Source organism: Homo sapiens, chromosome X (genome assembly GCF_000001405.40).
Source record: "Homo sapiens chromosome X, GRCh38.p14 Primary Assembly".
Lineage (NCBI taxonomy): Eukaryota > Metazoa > Chordata > Mammalia > Primates > Hominidae > Homo > Homo sapiens.
The window spans coordinates 40,083,345-40,099,579 of NC_000023.11; the positions used below are offsets into that span (position 1 = coordinate 40,083,345).

General features: G+C 57.5%; 1 protein-coding gene across 47 annotated transcripts in view, besides 10 other annotated features; it reads right to left on the reverse strand.

The window, feature by feature from the left end:
- BCOR (BCL6 corepressor) overlaps nucleotides 1-16,235 on the reverse strand; it is a 126,032-nt gene that overhangs the window by 32,099 nt on the left and 77,698 nt on the right. For 5 of the 47 annotated variants that reach the window (XM_005272620.5, XM_005272619.5, NM_017745.6 and 2 more), the window contains exon 1: nucleotides 13,871-14,614. The exons of 16 other annotated variants lie outside the window; for them this stretch is intronic. The gene's annotated coding sequence lies outside the window, so the exon portion shown is untranslated. Of the gene's footprint in view, nucleotides 1-12,451; nucleotides 12,849-13,115; nucleotides 13,845-13,870; nucleotides 14,615-14,831; nucleotides 15,154-15,207; nucleotides 15,310-15,420; nucleotides 15,891-16,235 lie in introns of those variants that run through there. 26 more of the 47 variants (XM_047442220.1, XM_047442203.1, XM_047442212.1 and 23 more) reach the window with 19 other exon arrangements.
- Nucleotides 448-517: a silencer, noted in NCBI's record as "silent region_20741". NCBI's record gives its function as "represses an Ori minimal core promoter by ATAC-STARR-seq in GM12878 lymphoblastoid cells {active_cell/tissue: GM12878}" and the evidence as "EXISTENCE:reporter gene assay evidence [ECO:0000049][PMID:35858748]".
- Nucleotides 7,564-8,191: an enhancer, noted in NCBI's record as "NANOG-H3K27ac hESC enhancer chrX:39950161-39950788 (GRCh37/hg19 assembly coordinates)". NCBI's record gives its function as "activates a minimal SCP1, AML or CMV promoter by ChIP-STARR-seq in primed H9 embryonic stem cells {active_cell/tissue: H9 hESC(primed)}" and the evidence as "EXISTENCE:reporter gene assay evidence [ECO:0000049][PMID:30033119]".
- Nucleotides 9,448-10,074: an enhancer, noted in NCBI's record as "OCT4-NANOG-H3K27ac hESC enhancer chrX:39952045-39952671 (GRCh37/hg19 assembly coordinates)". NCBI's record gives its function as "activates a minimal SCP1, AML or CMV promoter by ChIP-STARR-seq in naive H9 embryonic stem cells {active_cell/tissue: H9 hESC(naive)}" and the evidence as "EXISTENCE:reporter gene assay evidence [ECO:0000049][PMID:30033119]".
- Nucleotides 12,148-12,197: an enhancer, noted in NCBI's record as "active region_29534". NCBI's record gives its function as "activates an Ori minimal core promoter by ATAC-STARR-seq in GM12878 lymphoblastoid cells {active_cell/tissue: GM12878}" and the evidence as "EXISTENCE:reporter gene assay evidence [ECO:0000049][PMID:35858748]".
- Nucleotides 14,178-14,237: a silencer, noted in NCBI's record as "silent region_20742". NCBI's record gives its function as "represses an Ori minimal core promoter by ATAC-STARR-seq in GM12878 lymphoblastoid cells {active_cell/tissue: GM12878}" and the evidence as "EXISTENCE:reporter gene assay evidence [ECO:0000049][PMID:35858748]".
- Nucleotides 14,328-14,377: a silencer, noted in NCBI's record as "silent region_20743". NCBI's record gives its function as "represses an Ori minimal core promoter by ATAC-STARR-seq in GM12878 lymphoblastoid cells {active_cell/tissue: GM12878}" and the evidence as "EXISTENCE:reporter gene assay evidence [ECO:0000049][PMID:35858748]".
- Nucleotides 14,438-14,667: a silencer, noted in NCBI's record as "silent region_20744". NCBI's record gives its function as "represses an Ori minimal core promoter by ATAC-STARR-seq in GM12878 lymphoblastoid cells {active_cell/tissue: GM12878}" and the evidence as "EXISTENCE:reporter gene assay evidence [ECO:0000049][PMID:35858748]".
- Nucleotides 14,688-14,807: a silencer, noted in NCBI's record as "silent region_20745". NCBI's record gives its function as "represses an Ori minimal core promoter by ATAC-STARR-seq in GM12878 lymphoblastoid cells {active_cell/tissue: GM12878}" and the evidence as "EXISTENCE:reporter gene assay evidence [ECO:0000049][PMID:35858748]".
- Nucleotides 14,938-15,107: a silencer, noted in NCBI's record as "silent region_20746". NCBI's record gives its function as "represses an Ori minimal core promoter by ATAC-STARR-seq in GM12878 lymphoblastoid cells {active_cell/tissue: GM12878}" and the evidence as "EXISTENCE:reporter gene assay evidence [ECO:0000049][PMID:35858748]".
- Nucleotides 15,808-15,917: a silencer, noted in NCBI's record as "silent region_20747". NCBI's record gives its function as "represses an Ori minimal core promoter by ATAC-STARR-seq in GM12878 lymphoblastoid cells {active_cell/tissue: GM12878}" and the evidence as "EXISTENCE:reporter gene assay evidence [ECO:0000049][PMID:35858748]".

The window sequence follows — 16,235 nt, forward strand, 5'->3', positions numbered from 1 at the left end:
CAGCCGGCCCAGGTGCTGCCTCTTGGCACACTCCAAGCCACAGCCTTAGCCGTAGCCAGCACGGGCGTCCCCGCCCACACCTCCAAGTTTTGCATTAGTAAGGGGGAGGGGGAAGGGGAAACTCGCCGGCCCAGACCATTCCAGCACCCAGAACCTTCCCGGCCTCCTCCCGGGGCGTCGGGGTCTGAGCGGAGAGCCACCTGGGCTGGGAGTGAACTTGGCCCCGGCGAAGAAGAAAGGGGGAGGGGCGCCCCCTCCCCGGGCTGAGGCGCTTCAGCCCGGAGCGCGATCGGTCGGCAACAAAGGGATTTTCTCTCCCACCACACACACCCGTGCTGCTCGGGGCTCGCCCGCTCCTCCTCCCCGCTCCTCGGCGGAGGTCCCAGCGCGCGGGGCCGCACCACGGCACACACTCACGCCCTCGCGGCGCGCCCCCGCCAGGCCTTCCAGGAACTCCAGCAGCCTCCCCGGAGGCGGCCCGACCTTCCCAGTTCCCGACCCTAGGTAACCCCTCGGACCCTGCGGCCTGGCACGCTCTCCATGGTGCCCCTTCCCGAGGCCCCGCCGCACCTTCTCTCCCCATCAACGAATCTGACGAAAAGAAACTTTGGGTGGGCGCAGGGAGAATCCGAGACCTCCCGGGAAACGCCGCCGAGCCCACCCGGGGAATGGGCACGGCAGACCCCTCCTCGCCATCGTTCTGGGTTCCCTTCCGATCATACTAGAGCGCTGCTCCTCTGGACGCTTCCCCTTACAAAGATGTGAGCCAAGCGTCGCCTACTGTAACGTGGGAGGGGTGCGAATCTCGGGCGTTGGGGTCCGGGGTGGAATCTGCAGGGGTTGACCCTGAGGGTCGCTGCCGAACCTGGATTGTCCGCTACACTCCCCTCCTCCAGGCAGAGCCCATGGCCCGGGGTCAGGTGCCCCCAACCTCTCTCTCACAGGCCAACGGGGGACACTTGCCCGTCTCCCCGGATAATCTGTCCAGGCCACCCCACCGGCTTTTTGTTCTTTTCACTTTCCTTCATGGTTTTGCCACACGGGGAGTCAGGAAACCACGTGTGTATTCAAGAGAGGGCAAATTTAGAAACAGGTGTCCCTTCACAGGAGGCCACCCGGCAACAGAAACCCAAGTCAAAAGCCAGGAATCCCTCCTTACTATCTTCCCTCCACGCAAAAAGAAACCACTTGCCCCCTTTGATCTAGTCCCTGCAGAACTGGGTCCCCACTTGGGAATCTACACAACCTGGGGGCAAATCCAGAATAAATGTTCCACACCATGCCTCCAAAGGCTGTGTCAATGCACTTTTGTTTCCACCAGGGCTTTGTAGGAGTAAAACACAAACGCCGTCGCCGCCACCCCCCCCCACCACCACCACCACCGAAGGGAACAAGCTATACCGTAAGGCTAATAACAACAGCTATCATTAGTATACACAGGAAGCACAAAGGAACTTTTAATGCATAAAAGATGTGTAAAATGCAGGGGTCCTGCAATCTGCAAGCGAGTCTCTCACTGATTGTGCAGAGCCTGGGAGTCCCAGAAAGGCTGGGATGAGGGTCAGAGAAGGAGAGGGGCACCCACCTTCTTTACAAGGAACAATAGGAATCCCATGTCTGCTACTCAGTCATGGAACTCAGAGCACCCAAAACAAAGCCATGGAACAACTATGGTATAGATGGGGGCCCACGAATTTTTGTAGCTGTTCAGGGCTTAATTACTCCTCCTTGATCCATGGGACTAGACACGACACCGCCAAGGTTAAAATGCCCCGAACAGCGCTGAGCAGATGTGAGCGAGCTGGCAGACGCGCAAATGAGGCCTGCCTCGGAGCACGATAACAAGTGACTAATACATTGCATATCGTTGAAAGAAAATTATTTTTCTCTAATTTGCATTTGCTTGGGGGAAAAAAAGCCAACGCGAGTCCCTCCTCACATGCACAAGTCTAATCCTGGAAATACAGCCCGGCTGCTTTAAGAGAGCTGGAAGGAGGGAAAGACTGCCAGTGTTTTGGCGTTGCAGGCTTGTTTATCTTTCCGCCTTTCCTCCAAGGCGAAACTCGTTTTGCAAGCAACATTCCTACAGAAAATGGCACACGTCATAAAAAGAGACCAATTTATAGAACTGGCACCGAAGTTCATGTCTCACTCCAGAAGCATCTCCCAGCTCCCCATCGGAAACCCAACTAGATGTAGAAGTCCATGTTAAAACTTAGAGAGTAGACTTAGGGAGGGGAGGTGCTGAGGGTGGGGGGGACAGGAGAGAATGAAGTAGATTTGCAGATATCCTGTAGGCTGTACACCCAGAGACCAAAGTCAGCCCTAAATGATCTTCCAAAACCCAAGGAGGACCAGGCAGGTGCCAGGGCTTGGAAGGCTTCAACCTTGGGACTCATGGGGGAGAGGAGTGAATTTTTACACCCAGCTTGCCCCAGGACGGTCCAGAGGCAGGTCCACATTCTTGGCCATCCTAAGTCCACCTGCTTGGGCCAGCCATGAACCTCCAGGACTGGCCTAGTGGGTAACTGCCACCACCAACTGCTCTCCCTCCCACCCTGGCGCCTCTCTGCAGGGCCTGGCGGGGTACCAGGAACTCAAAGAAAGCCTGTTGCTGTGGGCATCTAGTTGATGAAGTCAGAGTAGGTGGTGCTGTGGGCAGGCTTCAGGACGGCACCTTTGCGTGCTGCAGTTGAAGGCAAATGTGCTCTTGAAAACGGGAAGGCTTGGAAGAAAAGGTTAAGGGATGTGGGTAATCAAAAGCCAATCTGTCCTCCCTTCCCCCCAAAATACACCCCCCTTAGGGTACTGAACCTGCACACTTGCATTTCCAAGCTGGAAACAGTGTCGAGTGCACAGAACACAGCACCCGCCTGTCTCTAACTTGTCTGAATAACAGGGCCATTTCAGAGGGGAACAACGGCCTTCAGAGCCTCTGCAATTTCCAGAAAGCTTTCAGTTAATAACACATTCTTTCCAACAAGCTTACTTAGGGCTGAAAGTTATTTTCACAAATCTTAAAAACTCAGCCATAAACAGCTGAGGACCCAGTTCAACGGATCCTGGCCAAACCCCACCAACACGGTGACACTCACGGCCCCGTGGGCCTTCTCCCGCCACCTCTGCCTCACCACAAGTTCCCTAAACCACAACATACAAACCATCCTGCACCCCACCCCAATCCTGGGAAGTCATAAAGATGTGTGTTGGGGATGGAGGGCGGGTGTGCCGTGGAGCTTTCTCTCATCTGGGGATGCGCTGGCCAGAAACTGGCCGCCACCTCTGCAGCTCGTCCATGGGCCTGCATAGTGCGCGCTTTGTGTAAGTGCTGAGGAGGCGCAGCGCTGCTCGCGCGCCAACAGCTGTCACATTATTTGCACTCGCTGTAAACAGCCTTCACATTCCCCCCTTACCACATAGTTAAAGCCAGACTAACAATCCACAGTTAGAGATCAAACCAACAACAGCAGCATTGTGTCTGCCTTTGCTGCCTTCACACCAAGCCCAGCAGCTGGCAGGTTTCTCCGGAACAAGGGACCCCTTCTCCCCCTACCCCTCCGGGATCCAGCCAAGGCTAGCCAAGGAAGCATGCGTTTGTCAGCGCTGTTTGTTAAAGCAAAAGAGCACCGCCATTTCGCAGAGATTTCCGTGTGGCTCATCAGCCCTCTCCGAGAGTTTACTCCTTCTGGAAGCTCGAGGAAGCATCACGAGAATAAAGGTTGTGGAGACTCGCAGGGTTGGTTTCCATGCTCAGCAAAGTGGGGTCTGGCCGGGCTGGGGCCGGGGCCGGGACAGGGAGGTCTGCCCCTCTCCATGCCATGTCACAGAGGCCAGACAGGTCTGTGCTTTCTGCAGCCCTCAGCGGAATGCCTCCTGTCTTTCGGAAATTGCCCAACTCACTAAATACTTACTGGCCGCCCCACTGATCAAAATGTCTCCTTTATGATTTTTGGTTAAGTTGAACATTTCCATAATCGTCATTATTAGTGCAAATTACACGCCTAATCGGTCCTTAAATAGATTTTAATTAAATAAGCATACAAGGCTCATTTTATGACTTAAGAAAGGCATTACTTTTCGTTATAAACTTTCCACCAGGATATAGAATAACGATAGCAGACAAATACTTATTCTTTGAAAATCACCAATAACCGATGGGCAGAGTATCATGAAACATACCCTGTTTTACCCTCTGGAATCAAAGCTGAGACCAGACATATCACAGCTGTACAACTTTCCTCCTGGGATGGGAGAGAGGATTTCTTCCTCCAAAGCACTATGTCTGTCTTCCTTGTGGCCAGTAGAAATAAACCCCCGGTGCTGCTTTCCCTACCCATCTGATGAGATTTCTCTAGTTGATGTCCTCTAGCAACCACTCCTCCCCCACCTCCATCCATTTTCCACCCTTTCGCCTGCTTAGAGTCCTGGTGCAAAGCAGGCACGCTGTGCTTGTTAAATGCTGTGTAAAATGCTGTTAATAAAATAATAAATACAAAGGATGGAGGCTGCTGCTTCCATGGGTGTTTTGACTGGAAATGCCTTGGCACTTGTCATGTGTTTATGGGAGGGCAGACAACGCTAGGATTTACATAGTTTGGACATTTCTGTACTTCATTTATTCTTTCCTAAATGACGTAGGCCTCGAGCTATTTCAAGTTTGCATTTGTACAGAACTGTTAAATGCCTAGGAGTTTCTCCAATTAAACCAAGTTTAAAATCAGACCCAAAGCTGGAACATACACTCAGACTTGCCCAACTCCACCTTCAGCCTCGGTGGCTGGACAAAACAAACAGATCCTCGAAAACAATCAGTCCTCGAGCTCCCCACCTTCACCCCCCACTCCAGGAGGGCCCCTAGGGCAAAGGTTAAGGCGTCTCTAGATTCCAAGCCCCAGCCCAGGCTACACACTGAGGCAATCACTGCAGTAAGGCGCATCTTGTCCATACACTACCTTTAAAATCGTGCGCTAAAATCGGGGGGAAACTGCTGGCCTGGTAAAACCCACTGTTCACAAAACAATGTCAGCAAAGGCTGTAAGGCATTCTTTAGAGAGGGACCAGGGATTCGTGCCTACTGAAGCTCTTTCAGCACAAAGGCTTTTAGGGGAAGAAGGGAAAAAGAGGGAGGAGGAGGGGGAGAGGAGGAGAGAAAGGGAGGGAGGGCTCCTGTTTCAGAGCAGGCATCCCCTGAGAGTCAAGAACCAAGTGTAGCTTCAATCAAACACTGACTTCCCCTCTGGGAGTCGAGTAGGAAACCTGATCACAGTAGCTTACTACCAGCCTGGATCCATACAGGTCTGGTTTTCTTCTCATGCTAGTAATTTTTTTAAATACATATTGATATAAAAGAAGCAATCCCTGGCAGACTTTATTGAAAACCACATTGAGCCCTCATAACATCCGGACTTAATCCCTATCAAACAAACCACAGCACCTCTGGCCTCTGCACCAGGCCACCCCCTCTCACCTCTTCCAACCAGGTCTTGCCCCTCTAGGCACCGTGGTTCCCCCCTGAAATAATGCCAGGAAGCCTTGCCGAAGGGTACCTAGATGACGGTTCTGAAATGAGTTCCTAACCATATAATGATCCCACTTGGGGGTGGAGGGGAGAAGCAAGTCTTTTCATATGGAATCCTTTAAAAGGCAGAATGCAAACTACGGTAACAAAGGGAAAGGGGAACCCAGGAAGGTGGACCTAGAATACCCTCGTAGGGGAGATTTAATCTGCATCCTTGGGTCCCAGGACACAGGCCTAGCAAGTCTCAGGGGGTCTCAGGGGCAGCAGGGAATGGAGGAGCAACCTATAGGAACATGACAAGTCATTCAAAGCAATTATTCATCCTTGGGGCCTACTATGTGCCAAGCATTCTATTTAGATCCTAAAGGTGGATAATTATTCCCAGTCTTACAAATGAAAAAACTTACTGGGGCTCAAAGGCCATAAATAACTTGCCCCCAAGGTCACACAGCTAGTAAAAAATGGGCCACGGTCAAACTCAGTCCTGGAGTTGCGGAGAGGAGCCAATTATTGGTCTAATTGTGCCATTTGAAATCCTGATTTTCACATACTGTCTCCTCTGAAAAGCTTCCTTAGGCCTTATGTACCCAAGAACGAGGCAAAGAGTGTTTAACACCTATGTTACTTGGTCTACAGTGAGCCGTGAACCCAGTTTCTCCTGTATCTAAGTCATCTCCTGGTCCACTCAAAGTCTTTCACCATTTCCCCCTACATCCTACAAATCTCCCTACACTGTTATACCCTGGTGTAAGGCCAATGCTCTCAACAAGCCTCCCCTTTCCCTTCCTCCAGTACCCCAGAATAGTCAGGGGTAAGGTGGGTCGACTCCTTTCAGGTCTCTGGGAAAAGTGCTGACTACTGGTACTAGGAGCTAGGCTTGCCACCCCAGTTTCGCCACATAAAGCAATAAATCAAATTATCTAGATAGAGCAAAAGCCCTTTGGAGGGAGCTCCTCCATCTACCTTTCCTAGGATTTAAAGGAAAAACCCCAGGGAACAAAGTAGTGTGGGAGAGGGAATTAAGATGGAAGACGCCAGCAAGATGTTCTATTGGGCCACCCAGAGTCCCCCACAAAAGCGCAAGCCGGGGGATAGGCTATCTTGTCCTTTCCCCAACGTTTCTTTACAGAAGCGGCCGGCAGCAAACCTCAGGGCCCAACATCCCCTCCCCACCCTATCCCCAATTTCCGGGTCTGCCCCAGGCTTTCAGATGTTCCGGGAACTACCTACACCCGCAGAGCCTGCCAAAGCCACCTCCGGCTCGGCTCGATGGGTACAGGCAGGGGTACCGGACACTCGGGCTTCCCGGCCCTGGACTGGTTACTCCTCCAGACGCTGAAGCTCCGGATGTGCGAAATGGCTCCGCAGTGCGACCGAGTGTGCAGGGGCCTCGGCGGCGGGAGGGACGGAGGGGAGACGGCGGCGCCGGGGCGCTCACCCCGCTAGCCAGCCGAGCACGCCCCCGCAGGCCGGCCACCCCTGGCTGCAGGCCAGCCCTCTGCAAGTGGCGTTCTTTCTCTTTTTTAAACTTTCCGGCCTTGGCGAACGGGCAGGGTTTCCAGTCCTCCCCGGCCCCCACCCAGTTCGGGGAGGGGCGGGGCGGGGCGGGGCTGGCCCTCCTAACCCCTCCGGGGAGGCGATTCCCCCCAAGTCCCGGGCACCGCTAGACGGCGGCCAGGGCAGACGCCTTGCTCCACCCCACCCCACCCCCGCCTACTGTGGCCACCTGGAGAGGGCGGCTTCCCGAAGCGATCGCCGTCCAGCCAAGCCTGGGACCGCAGCGTCCGGGGAGGAACTCCCTACAGCGCCAACGGTCCTGGCCTGCCCGCGGTGCGCTCTCTCCGAAAAGTCTAATGCTCCGGGAAGGGGGAGGGGAGAGAGAGCAAGGCGGGAAGGGGGGGACGGGCTGCTTTTATTTATTTTTTAACTCTTCAAATGCAAGAGGTTTTTGGTGTCCCTAGCACGACTGCGAGCGTCTGGCCAGGCAGAACAATAGAAATGGAGGGGGGACGCCGGAAATGGTGCTGGAAGACCCCTATAACCCTATAAACCTCTCCTCTCCCTCTAAGTTCCTATTAGCATTGAAAGATCCTAGTGACTTCAATGCAAAATTGTCTTTTTATAACTTTTTTCCTTAAACACATTCCCCCTCCCCACATGAAATCACAAGGGCAAAGATCGCTTCCCAAGTTGTGACCTTCCGAAGCTCCAGGGCTTCTCACCTGCTCTGCCCCTGGCACCCTGACCTGAGTCAATCCCATCCCCCAACAGTTCCCCTGGTTTGCACCTAGACAATAAATTTAGTTTAATTTAGCTTCCGGTCTTTAATTTTAGCAGGTCTCCTTTTTGCATGCAAATCAATATGGCAATTACCATCTAAAAGCTCGCCCAGCCCCGGGTCAATGTAAATTGATCATTGTCCGCCTTCCACAAAATAACATCGGGAGTCTGTGGTGCATAATGAGATTATACTGGAAACTGTCTTTTAGATCACAAATTATTTTTTATGCTGTCAGGATCTTCTCCGAGTGGACTTCCCCGCTTCTCTAATCATGGAGAGCCGAGCCCGTGGGTGCCGGCTGTGGGAGACACAGCTCTAAAACAATGACGGAGTGAGGACCCCCGTTTCTGAGACCCTCGATTGTAAACACATGGAGGTGAGCTTGCGCCCCAAAAGGGAGCCTTCTACAGAAATATCGCAGAAAGGCATCGTTAATGAACTCCACCCAACAAAAAGTAAGATATCCCTTCCTGATGAACACGTTGAGGGCAACCAGAGAAAGCCGTCGGGCAGGGCTGGAGACCAGTGGACGCCCCCGGCCAAGTGCGCGCGACGAACGCGGCTCGGCTACCACCAGGGCGGCTGGGGGGAGACCATTTACTCCCGCCCCGGCGGCTTCTCCTGGCTCTACCACCTAGGCCTCAGCAGCGCGTCCGGTTTTGCAAACAGACGGAATCCCGTCGGCCATAAACACTGGCAAAGAAGCCGGGGCGGGTCAGGGCCGGCCCAGGCCTCCCCACCCAGCTTTGGGCGAGGCCCCCACCGGGCCCGATCCAGAAGATGGGCTGGGGCACCGAGGCAATAAGGAGGCTCCTCTTGACCCGCAGCACTGCTTTCTCCCACCCATCGGCGGCCCCCGGGGCACGAGTGTGACCTCGGGGCCTAACAAAGGGCCTTGTGAGCTCCTTTCGGCCTCGGGCCGGAGGGAGAAGGGTGGGGCGGGGCGGCCGAGATGGACCCAGGAAGTTCCCCGCCCCGCCGCGCCTCTCCGGGTCCGCCGGGCCCGGTGTCCTCGAGGAAACCACCGGGGTGGCATTGCCAGGGCTGCCCGCAGCTCCGGGGAACGTCCTGCGGGCTCCAAGCCTCCCGCCCAGCGCGACCGGACCCTGCCCCACTCCGCCCGGCGCGGGCCCCACCCAAGTGCGGTCTTCCCAATAAAAGCTGGAATTCCCGGCTGGGCTTAGACAAAGAGGGACCGCAGCAAATCGACGCCGCGGGCAAGCCATACCCTAGCCGGAGTTTACGTGCGCGTCTGGGGTCACCGAGGCGCCTGCTAATCCACCCAACACAGGCTGTCCCCGCCACGGTCTCCTCCAGAGGAAAAAAAAAAAAGAAAAGAAAGAAAGCATACCTCCCTTTTATTCCTCCCAGAGGCCGCACTTCTTCCTGTTCTCCTTCCCAGCCCACTGAGGCCCTGCTCCACCTTAGCAAATTGGACCCCAGCAGTGCAACAGCCATTCCTACTGACCACAAAGTGGAAAGCTACCCCTCTTGTGGCTACACGATCCAGCCACTCAAGGTCAGGAACTCAAAATCTCTTCAGAAAGGCTCCTACCTGCTCGTCACCAACCCGCTGCCCACTCCACCTCACCCCTAGAAGGGAAAGAAACTATAACCAGAGATAATCCTAGTTCACTGCACACCATCCATCCTTTAGGCTGCTAGCGTGGCCCTCAGTTTCCTTCAAGCCAAAGACACATTATTTCCCTGTGAATAAGTGTGTGAATGTGGTTGTGTGGCCCACTCTTCTGTACCCAAGTCGGTCTCACTCACTCGGCAGGAAAGTCTTCGTCAGGCATTGAGGAGTGTTTGTCATTCAGCCTGTGTATCTAAGCATGGATGTATGCATATGAATGCTTTTTGTGTTTCCAAGTGACCCTCTTCACACCTTTAAATGGGCTATTGTCTCTGGAACGCACTTACAGAAATTCTGCCCCAGTTTCCAGCTCAACAAAGTCTGGGATTTTTCTCTCAGAATATCGCTATACATCTCTGTATTTGCATACCCATGTTTACATTCCCCTTGGCCAGTTCTTTATCTCTTATGTATCTCTTGTTCCATTTGGGCAACGGAGCCCAAGTGTCTTGATTTGTCTCAGCACATGTCATTCAAGCGCACATCTTAATCTGAGCATTCGTACTACTTCCATTCTTTTTGCTTTGCCTATAATGTGGCTCTTTCCCAGGCCAGACCAATATGGGTTTGCAGTTTAAATGTAAACAGAGGATCCCTTAAGATCACAAACTCTTAAAGAAAGGAAGAGGAGGGAGGAGGAGACTGGAATGTTAGTAATGAGTTATTTATGTATAGGGTAACCCATCCGCCCATTTCAAGCTGAAGAAAGAACTAGATAAATGTCTGCAGAGGTGTATTAAAATTTTAGACCAATTTAATATTAGCCATATATATACACACACAAACGATGGATCTCACAACACATCAGTGTCCAGCTCCTCTTTGGAGGCTGTCTCCTTGCACATATCTAACTCCTCACAAGTTCCTGGTTAAAAGTATGTCTATTTATATAGAGACAACTCAAAGACCGCTTTGCTCTCTTCAGTGCATACCTGTACATGCTGGCGGGGCATTTCAGGCTCAGGTCCTTGGTCTGCAGCAGTCATAGTCAGAGGCCCCACCCGACTACAGCTATGTGCAGACCTTCCCGTCCTTGAACACCCGCATGAATTCTCTTTGGGAACATTGAGTCTACGTCTGTCTTCCAAACTCAGTTTTTAAAGTGAGGGTGTTCATTGTGTGTGTTCACAGCTCCCCGACTGAGAAATACCTGGTCAAACTAGATCATCTAGCAGCTGCGTTTGGTTTGTGGAAGAATCGAGCCCGATGCACCAAGATGTGACCGTGCACACATAAGAGAAAGGAAAACCCTAGGCCCAGACTCACAGCTCCTCCCCACTGCGAGCTACTCTGCCTCCAGGAATTTCCACTAGGCTCTTTGCCCCCCTTTCCCTATTACACTACCCCACCACGGCCTTTAAAGGGTTAAGAGAAACCCCCACGGCCTTCCCTCCACCCAGCTCGCTGGGCCCGGAGGCTAGCTCGCTCACTCGCAGCTCACAGAGTCTGCTGCCATCTCCGCGCCTCCCCCCCCTCCAGTCCTTCAGCCGGGAGGGAGCCTGCATGCCTGTCTAGACCGATCTATCACCGGCACACCAACAACACCCGCGAGAGCGCGGAGACCCTGCCCAGGTCCCCCGGCCCGCACGGTTCACGGCGGACAGAACCCGGGGAGCGTGACGGTGCCTGCGGGGTGGGGGTAGGGGGCCCACAGGCACTGGCCGCTCCGAGCGCACCACGGGTCCTCTCCAGCTCCGGCCCCCCGCGCTCCCACCAGCCCGGCTGCCGGGGCACAGTCACAGCTCCGCGCGCTGGGCAGTCCTATTTTTATCTTGTCTAATCCTAAACTGGGCGGGGAGCACAGGCGTCGTGCTTAGAGAACAAGAGATAGGCGCGGGAGGCGGGGAGGAGCAGCCAGGCAGCGACGCGAGCGGGAGCGAGTTAAAGACACAGTGGAGGCGACCGCGGGCAGGAAGAAAGAGCGGGCTGCGCGGGCCTCGAGGCGCCGCACGCAACGCGCCGCCCCGCGAAGTTACACTCGCTTCCCCGCCGTCCCTCGCTACCGGCCCCTCCCCACTTCCCAGCGGCGCTCCCCGCAGCCTGGACAGCGAGGCCCCGGCCTGTGTGGGAGGCGGAGGCCAGGACGGCCCTGCAAAGGGCTGGAGAGAATCGCTAATGAGCTGTGCAGCCCATTGATCCGGAGAACACTTCCTAATTAACTCTCAGTCACCTACTGGTGACAGCGCCTCAAAGGACAGCGCTGGGGCCAGCCGAGCCCCAGCCGCGACTTGCCGGCCGGGCGCCTGCTGCCCAAAACCCGCGCGCTCCCCTAAACACCCCAAGGCAATTGGTGTGCGTGGCGGTGTATACCCGCACACTGAAGGCCAGCCTCGGATTAAACCTGGATGGCATATTAATCATCGCCTTCCCCCCCCACTCCGCTCTACGCGCTGAAACCCTGCCCAAAATAAACACGAAAACCAACACTGCAAAACCCACACCAGATAACAGGTCGAGAGAGGAGTGGGCAGGGTCAAGGAACGAGCGTATTCCCTAAGTGTCCACGTACAGGAATCTTTGAGGCTGACAATTAAAATGCCTTCCACGCAAGCAATTCTGTTGGCAAAACCGAACCCAACACTTCGTAAGGATTGATTTCGGCCCGCGGTGTCCGTTTCCAGTGCCACAGGAAGTGTCAGATGGCCAGAAATACCCAAGTCTGTCTGCACTCACCACCCACCACCTTCTGGGGTGGGCCATTTCCTCCTAGTCTTTACTCCCAGGCCATTTTAAGGATCTTTCTCCAAAAGACTACCCCTAGAACCAAATACCACACTACCCCTCCTCTAGCGTCTTCTCAAAACGAAAAAAGGGGGGGAAAACACAGCTAAAACCCCGAGCTGTCTAGTCTAGACGCAGCGAGGCTGTGCGAATACCTATTTGAAGCGCGTTGGTTTCTTTTTAAGGTTTGTTTCTAAATACACATAACCCTCCTCCTTCCTTCTTCGCTCTTCCATTCCCCCCACCCCCACCCTCCAGACGCCGGCGGCGCGCGCCCTGGCGCGCGGGCACTCACAGCCTCTAGCTGGAGATCGCGGACTTTCTGGAAAAGATTCATTAACAGCAAATTACGCCTCGCCCGGCCACGGCCTACACGCTGCCAGACTCGTCCGTCTCCGGGACCCCGGGAAGGGCCCACTCGAGCGTGCGAGCGGCGGGAAGCCCGCCGGGACCACGCGTGACTTCGGCCGCCCTACTCCACACACGGTGCCCCAAGGCTCTCTCCGTAAACAGCAGGCGCTCGTCACCGCCGCCGCGAGCCCCCGAGTTGGCGGAGGCTCTGCGGCGCAGCCGCCCGCCGGCTCCGAGCGCGGGCCCCGCGGCGCCTCGCCCTCCCCGCCTTGGCCGAGGATCTTGCCCCGGTGCGCAAGTTCCTCTTCGCCTACAGCCTCCTTGCCACACGCCCTCCGAGTGGGACCAACTTCCTCCGGCCGCAGACTTTCACACGCCCATCAGGGCTACCCACCAGACTCCCCATTGCCCAGCGGAGGGCCCAGGTCTCGCCCGCCCCCGCCCTCCCTCCACGACGCTGCCCCCGCACAAGCACATTCTACACCCACCCCTGGGGGCTCATAACTTAAAACCTACGCTGAACATCGGGGAGGGAGAGGAGGGGGAAAGCGGGAGGGGGATCGCAGATTATAATCTTAAAAGAACATTTACAAAACAAAGCGTCTGACCTGGCTGGCGGGCGGGCCAAGTCGGAACCCCTTGCTCTGCTCGATTTCTTAGTAGTTTTTTTTTTTAATCCACGTGATTCGTGCTTTGGGGCAAGCCAAGAAAAAACGGGACTCCCCTCCCGAGTTGCGCGGCAGCGGCGGCAGGTCGAGCTCGGCTCGGCCCGAGGCACTCGCCACACACCCTCGCGCACGCACACGCCGACGTTCCACTTGGAGGAACGACCGGCCCCCGGAGAGGCGAGACGAGGCGGCGGTGGCGGCGGCTGGGGGTTTTTACAGTTCTTTCCCGAGTCGAAAAAGAAAGCAGACGGCAACCCGCTGCCCTCCCCTTCCTGCTCGCGAGCTAACGCCGAACCCAGCTTCCCAGCTTCCAGCCCACCTCCCCCCCCTCCGCCCGACTCGCGGCGCTCAGCGGCGACCGCGCTCCCGCGCACAGACACACACAGGCTGCAAACTTCCACTCTGCGAACTCCCTGCTCTCCTCCTGGCCCACCGGGAGGCGCCAGGCCCCCAGCCGCGCCCCCTCCCTCCCTGGTGCCCACGCGGGGCCGCTTAGGTTGGCTGCATTTTAAATAACATAGCTATGAAATAAAAACGAAAGCGAGCCAAGCAGCCAAAGGGAAGCGCGAGGCAAAAGCTTCGCGGGGTACGCTGCGGGAGGGGGCCCCGGGAGAGGGGGCCGACTGCAGCCCTCAGCGCGCCCGCCCGCCCACCCGTCCGCGGTCTCCCGGGGGAAAGGTGTTCCGGGCACTGACCTGAAATCCCCGGTGGGGGAGTAGGCAGGGAGCCTGCGATCCGGCTCTTTGAAGTTTTCCCCCAAGCGGACTCGAGGCGGCGAGAAGGAGCGGGGGGCGGTTGGGTGGGTGGAGAGAGATATGAGGGGTGGGGGGGGTTGGCGACGTTAACGAGCGGAGAAGGAGCCGGGCCGGAGAAGCGCGGCGAGCAGCAAAGTTTGCGGTCCCCGGCTGCCCGCAGCCCGCTCGCGGCGCCGCGCTCACTCGACTCCCTCGCCGTCTGCTGGCAGCCGGCTGCCCTCGGGGTCGGCCCCGCCGAGGGGTGGGCTCTGGGCCGGGTGGGGGCGGGGCGGGGCGGGCTCGGGGCCTCCGGGCAGGTGGCGACAGCCCCGTGCGATCCTCCGGGCTCCCGCAGCTGGACTGGGCTTGGCCGAGCTCAGCAGCTCCCGCGCTGCCGCCGCCGCCCGCGCTCGGGCAGGAGCCCCAGCGCCATGTTGACGGTTCGCCGCGAGCGCCCGCTCGGGCTGGGTGTGTGTGAGTGTGTGTGAGTGTTGGCCAAGTCGTCCCTGCGCGGCGACAGCGCGGCTTGGGCTCTCCGCCCGGCGGCTCGCGGGCTCCCCCTCCGCCGCCGCCGCCCGCCTAGCTCCCGCTCTCGGTCGCGGTCTGGGCTCCTGCGCGTCTCCCCCGCAGCCGCCGAGCTCGGCCCGCGTTCAGCGAGGAGCGCAGCTCTGCCTCACCTTGCCGCTGGGAGCCCAGGCTCCGTCTGCCGCCGCACGCCGCGATCCCAACGCGTCCCCCCTCCCTGGTTCCCTCCTCTTCCTCCTCCCCCTCCCTCCGCCCGTCCTCCCTCCCGCCCGCCCTACCTCCCTCCCTCCCAACAGCCGCCTCCCCTCCCCCCGCAGGCGCAGCGCTCGGGCGACAGCCGCCCGCCCGCCGCCGCCTCCAGCTCTCGCAAGTTTGAGCTCCGCCAGTCTCCGCTCACCCTCCGCTGCGGCGCCTCCGCGGCGGGGTTTCGGGAGGGGTGATTCCCCAGGAAAGGTTTGCCCGAGTTTCCCCGGCCGTCATCGATGCACGGCCCGGCACGTTTTGGCCTCTCTGGATCCGAACCCCGGACCACTTGGGTGGCGCCCCCCCTCCTCGTCCCCCGGCCTCCCCTCCCCAGCTCGGGCCGAGTTGGCTGCGCACGCCCGACCCGGGCGCACGTCCTGGGCGAGCCGGAGACCGACTTGGGCGGCGGCGGCGGCGAGGGCTGCCGGCAGAGCCAGAGCCGAAGGGATGGGGGCGGCGGGGGCGGCTCTCCCAGCCGCGCGCCGAGACTCCCCTCGCTACCCAGAAGGCCAGTGGAGGACCGCAATTACCATAAAGCGCCTCGCACTCCGCTCAGCCAAAGCTGTCAAACCCCAGCGGCAGCAGCCGCTGCCGCCGCCTCTTGCCACCAGCGCTGCGCTCTCCCGGCCTCGTCCCCTCCGAGACCCAGCGGAGCGTGGCCTGTGTGCTCCCGTGCTCACCCCCACCCCAGTTTGCCCCTTCCTCCCAGAGGAGCCCTTTCCCATTTCGGTGTTAAAAGCTACCTGAAAACACCACCCCAGGCAACGGTGGCCGTTCCGCCTGAACTCCGCGCCCGAGTTCCCCGGACGTTTCAATTGTGTGGGAATTGTTTGGAGGTGGGGGAAGGGGGGAGCAGCCCGTGGAGGCACCGGGAGGCGTGTGGGGGGCGGTCGGCGAGCGGAGATCCGCCTGTATTTCTCCCGGTTCTCGAGCATTTTCACGGTCTGTACCTCTGATGGTTGGAGGGGCTGCCCAGGCCCCTCGCCCCGGCGTTGGGAGATTATCTCCCGCGTTTTATTTTCCTTGACAGGGAGCAACTTTTGGCTTACACCGTTCGCCCCATAAATTTCCACTCGGTAACGTCGTGCTGATCGGTGCTTGGCGGCGGCGTACAGCCTGCGCCCGCAGCAGTTCAATTCAATTGACACGTATTGAGCTTCTCCAGCGCACCCGGCGCGGCTCTGGGCGCGGGGGGAGGGCGGGGGCAGGCGGGAGGGAGGGGGAAGCGGAGAAGCGAGGTTCCGGCCTCCCCGGAGCGCAAAGCCTCAAGGGCGAGCCGAGAAGCCCTAGTTGGTGAAGCTGGCGGGAAGGGGTAGGAGTGGGGGAGGGGGTATTCCGGACTAACCGCGCCCAGACTGCGGGCCCGGACTTCGCGGCCAATGGTGACCCCATTCGGCTGCCCACTAGGGTCTTTTTATACTGGGAAGGGGGTGGGGTGTCTCTTTCTGCCTAAGGACAAGATGGTGCAGGCTCCATGAAACATAAATCTGAAATGGAGGTGGCTTGTAAATCCACACGGAAAGTTTTTAAAATATCCTGGAGTGTCCCCATGCCAAAA